Source organism: Homo sapiens, chromosome 3, assembly GCF_000001405.40.
Source record: "Homo sapiens chromosome 3, GRCh38.p14 Primary Assembly".
Taxonomy (NCBI): Eukaryota; Metazoa; Chordata; class Mammalia; order Primates; family Hominidae; genus Homo; species Homo sapiens.
Window position 1 is genome coordinate 147,609,551 of NC_000003.12, and position 5,752 is coordinate 147,615,302.

Consider the following 5,752-nt stretch of genomic DNA (forward strand, 5'->3'; position numbering starts at 1 on the left):
TTTTTTTTTTTTTTTTTTTTGAGACGGAGTCTCGCTCTGTTGCCCAGGCTGAAGTGCAGTGGCGCGATCTCGGCTCCCTGCAAGCTCCGCCTCCCGGGTTCACGTTATTCTCCTGCCTCAGCCTCCTGAGTAGCTGGGATTACAGGCGCCTGCCACCACGCCAGGCTAATTTTTTGTATTTTTAGTAGAGACGGGGTTTCACCGTGTTAGCCAGGATGGTCTCGACTTCCTGACCTCGTGATCCGCCCGCCTGGGCCTCCCAAAGTGCTGGGATTACAGGCGTGAGCCACCGCACCCGGCCCACCCTCCTCTTAAAACGTACAATTCCTTATGTAGTCAGCCTATATGTAATTTGTGTACAAATTAATTTTGCATAGAATAAAATACCAATACCCCAAAAGGCATAAACTATCTTGGAGGGCTAATGAGATATATATAAAAATACTTAATTTCAATTGTAAATGCTGATTAAAAATAAATTTTAACTGAATATTCACATATTTTATTTTTGGGTAAATTCATGTTTCTGCAAAATGGGTTTTCATAAAATAATACATCATTTAACATTAATACTTACTAATGTTAACAAGTATCTGTCGTGTGTTTAATAAATATGTAAAGCTCTAAGGGTGTCATGAGGGAATCATGGAACATTCACTTCTGAGTATAGTTAAATTAATTAAGAGGCCCCTCTAGTTTGAAAAATGTAATAATTAGTATTTTAAAAATATTTGTACTGAATATATATATGTATTCAAAGAGAAAATTAACAACTTTAAAAAATACATATTTAAAATAGCTCACTGTAGTCATCTAGTAGGAAAATACATCTTTATACAAACAGCAAGGAGTGATGGTTATATTACCATCTATTTTTCTTTTCTTCTTCCCTTTTTAATTATTCTCTCTCTCAGAATAAAGTCAAAATACTATCAAACATTTTTTTAAAATAAAATTATCTTGGTTACTAGCGATAGGCAAGTACAAGTTTCTGACCGTAAGTACACTCTTTCACAGTAATCTTTAAATTGGAAGAGTGTAGGGCATTTCAAATGGGCTAATGAAGATTTGAACACATAGGAGACAATAAAACCCATATGATTACCAAGTCTAGAACAGATGATGAAAAGAAAACATGATATTTGAACTTACAAATGGGAACATAGCTTAAATGAAGTGAGAGAAATTTTCACACACGGAAAACATTAATTGAGTGTCTGTAAACTAAATTTAATTCAATTCAACAAAATTTACTGAATATTGATTATGTGTTCTGGACCTTTATATGGTGCTAAAAACACAAAGTTATGATCTTTAATTTAATATTGTATAACAAAGTTATACAATAACACTTAATTATAAAAGTATGTATAAAGTGAAATGGAAACATAAATGGGGGTCTATGCTTATGAGAATTCGGGAATGTAAATACAATGTGTTAGAACTGCCCAATGCGTGCGTGTGTGCGTGCGTGCACACACACACACACACAAAGGTAGCTTCGGTGGGACTAAGATATTTATTACGGAAAAAAGAATACTAATTGTTTTGAAATAATTTTATCTTTATATATCTTTATCTTTATATATCTATTTCTGAATCCATACCTGTATCTTCAACTTTATATTCATGTTCAATTTTTTCATGCCAATTTAATATGTTCTTTATATACAATAACCTACAAAACTGATACTATTCTTTTTTTCAGTTTACTACATAAGAAATTGAAGCATAGTAAAGAAAACTTGGCCAAGGTCACACTTAATGAGTGACGAAATTCTATCATTTTTCAAACATGCTCTAGAACAACACTGTCCCATAGAATTTTCTGCAGCGGTAGGAATGTTTTCTACCTGAGCAGTTTAATTCTATAGCAACTGGCCACATATGACTATTAAGCACTTGAAATATAGCTAGTGCACCTGAGGAACTAAATTTTGAATTTTACCTAATTTTAATGCATTCAAATTTAAATAGCCAACTCCAGAACATATAGAAGCAGACAGTGGAGATGTAGGAGGAAGGAGGAAGAACTGAAGGAGTAAAGTTTTTTAGAAAGTGGAAATAATAAGGCCTTACCCCACGTGGAAGAATTGGACTTCACTAGGATAAAATGCAGCTTTTCTGATGTTAGAGGAGGAAATAGGAGAAGAAGGAGATACATAGAGTAGGTCAGTGGATGAGTAAGGAATGAGAGCATTGTGGTGACAATGAAATGTGAGACAAAGGTGACAGTGAGGGACAGAGCCACAAACAGATATTTCAGGAAGGGCTATAGTGGTTGATTCTATTTCTTATACATACGTAAAGACACAATGAACGAATATATCAAAACAACAACGGTTATCTGACTGGGGAGTCCGGGGAACTGGATAAGTGGAGAGAGGGTTAAGAGGAACAGTTTTCACTTGTTCACATTTTTATTCTTTATTTTGGTTTTCCAACACATGATAATGTATTACTTGTTCAAAAAATTAAGTTAAAGAATTAAAAATATTAGATGAGAAGACTTAGAAATGTTTTTACTAAATAATGATAAACAGGATTGCTGGGAAGTATTGAGGACCCTGCAGAAATCTCAGTTTTATAAGAAACAGTAACAACATTTGTTGTATTTTTTAAAAATTATTTTCCAGTGCATATTATTACAGAAAATGTCAATTTCATACAAACAACGACAACAAAACAGTTTTATCTGATGAGATTTTTGACAAAGTAATACAGTTGAATATATATGTATTATATATTATATATGTATTATATATAATATATATGTATTATATATTATATATGTATTATATATATTATATATGTATTATATATAATATATATGTATTATATATAATACATATGTAATATATATTATATATATGTATAAATGTATAGATTCATACCTGTTGGGTCATTGAGAGGGCATTGATGGAAGTGGGAATAGGATAGTGATTGTGAATGGGTCTGGAAACTTTAAACTCTGAATAGGGTATAGATCTTTTGAAATTAGTTTAAAATAGTTTGGACCTAATAACTAGGTGCTGCTGATAACTAAATACATGGTAGAGATATTCCATGGTATCCTTTCTATAAGTAGACATTGCCTAAATCTCAAGCTTGTTGGATAATGATATTGTACTAACAAGGAACTTTATATCATAAAAAATATGAGATAAAATGTTAAATGCAGGTTTTCTTTCACGTTCTTCTTCCTTTCTGATGGCTGAAGAATTTTGTTCTCTAGTTTCCTGAATTATCTTTCCTTTACTCGTTTTGTTTTTTTAACACCAAGTACTCTATTATTCTATGGCGATATAGCCGTGGTGGGCTTCCTGATACTTGAACTGGGGCCTGGGAATCACACTGCTTTAACATTAAGGCAGCAAAAAAGGAAAGGAAAAAATGGATTCTGCTTAGATTTGTACACATTCTGATCCCATTTTCAATAGAATGAGGACAATGGGCATCACTTTGCCTTCTCTTAGCTATTTAGTTTATCATCCATCCTTGTTTTTTTCTTCTAGCTTTCTGTGGAACTAAAACACACTGTCAGGCCTTTTGCTATGAGTGTGAAATGCACAGCAATATAAAAAAGAAAATAAGTGCAAAAAGAATATAGCAAATTAAATGCCTCTGTGATCTCAATTCTATATTTATGTGTGAGATTTAGGGGTAAATATGTATATGATATCAAAAAGACTATTACATATTTAAAATTTTTTGTTAATATTAGATTTTATAGTGATCATTCTTCAAATATCTTCCACACAAAACCTCTATAATGAGCAATAAACATTGCTTATTAATGAAACACATTGCTTAGCCTGTCAGGATGCTGTGATACTTTTCTGTAAATACTTTACATGTGGGTTTTCTTTCAAGTCAGTAGAAAAAAAATTGTAAAGAAACATGCAGAAACAATTGTGTAAGATTTTAAAAAGCAAGATTGCTTGGTGGTTCCGGGTATATGGTGGGGAGGGGTCCTACCTATTCCAAGGGAGGAATTTCCTCAAATTCGTGAGAGATTTTCCTAATTTTTGTTCACAATTCCTGGAAGAGATGACACTCCTTTGCCTTCAGACCAAGATAAACACATCATGTTGAAATATTAATTCCAAATAATCTATTGCTATAAAGGTGCGGACATTTTGTTATTTAATATTCAACCTCAAATATACCAGAGTATTAAGTAGAAATAAATAGTATTTTAAGGACTTGCATTCTATAATCTCTCAGTAGCAGAAGGGGATCTCTGTTGTAGGCTACTGTCAAAGGGCACTTAAAATAAGATTGAGAATGAAAAATGAAACCTAACACCAGTGTCTCTTCTGACTACTCTGCATAATCTAACGTACTTAAACTCTTCCTGCAAAACCCTGCTGCTTTTCTGTTGCTTGACATTCTGACCGTTTTTGAACCCTTGAACTCTGACAGAGAGGAGGGACTTGGAGAGGTTGTCATCTGATCTATGTTAGAAGGCAAAAGGAATAGCTTTCTCTCTAATAGCACTTCTTTCTGCCTAGCAGTTGGTGGGAGATTAAAACGATCTAGGTGGATAAGGCTGGTTAGAGGTCTGGGGACATCACTTTTTTGGGAGGGCTTGTCTGCATGTCAAAAACATAGGTAGGTCATTAGAAGTGGAATGTTTATTTTTTCCCCTCTTCTTTTCTGCCACACATTAATAACATTTTACTATTTATTCATTTTTATGATTTACTCCAAGTTTTGAAGAACGAATTCCTGCTATGCTACTGTCCAGCCAGGATCGTGGTTAGACACTGACATTCTGAATTCCAGCCATATTAATTGCTGGATAAAGGCTATAATCCCTCTCTCTTTGAAGCCCAAGGCTGATTTTTAGGCAACACTTCAAAAGCAGAGCACAACTGAAGAGGCATATTTCCTACCAGCACTGAATTACCATGATTGACTCAGCTTGCTTTAGACATGGGCCTTACATATTTGGATATCCAGCAAAACAGTTAGATTTTTGATATTAGAGCGTGAAAGAAAATACCTTTTGTGATCCAAAAGCTGATCTATTACTCTTTGGGAGATATTTAGATGGCTGTTTAAACTACTTTAAAAATAGAAACACCTAAGTCATTCTTTTTTCTAATAGAAAACATCATGCTTGAAAGTTGTCTCTCTCTCTCCTTTCTCTTTCATATTATGGCACAAATAATATGAAGCCATCAGTCTGAGTCCACTATGATTAACGACAAAAGCCTATGTAAATAAGATTTTCAAACATTCTCAAATTATTATAACCCTTAGAGATCCTTTTAAAAATACTTTTAAAATCAGCCATTGAACATTTATATCCAACACTCGTAATGCCATTGTAACCAGCATTTTAAAATAAGGAAGTGTGATGTATAAATATCCTTCAAAAGACTAGACAAAAATGATAACCACTAAGAACATAAAAACAAACCCCCAACCAAAAAATGACTGAAGTAAATGAAAATTTATGACCAACATGGAACTTTATATTAGTGTCTTTTTCACTTACAGCGTGTTTATCTCCGAATCTGTACTGTAAGGACTTTCTCATATAGGATTTGCCAAGTATGCTTAGTGGGCTATGTTTGAGAAAGATTAACAGTATTTCACATCAAAGGAGGACCCTGCTGCATGGTCTTACGAGATTGTCATTCACTCCCATTATGGCTCATTTGCACAAGATTTTCATGTAATATGAGCCATTGTTTTGATGGCAGTGATTTGACATAAAGACAGGGCCGAACTGCATCTCAGC

The 5,752-nt window shown here is 33.6% G+C and overlaps 1 annotated feature.

Moving 5' to 3' along the window:
- Positions 4,336–4,385: a silencer, noted in NCBI's record as "silent region_14801". NCBI's record gives its function as "represses an Ori minimal core promoter by ATAC-STARR-seq in GM12878 lymphoblastoid cells {active_cell/tissue: GM12878}" and the evidence as "EXISTENCE:reporter gene assay evidence [ECO:0000049][PMID:35858748]".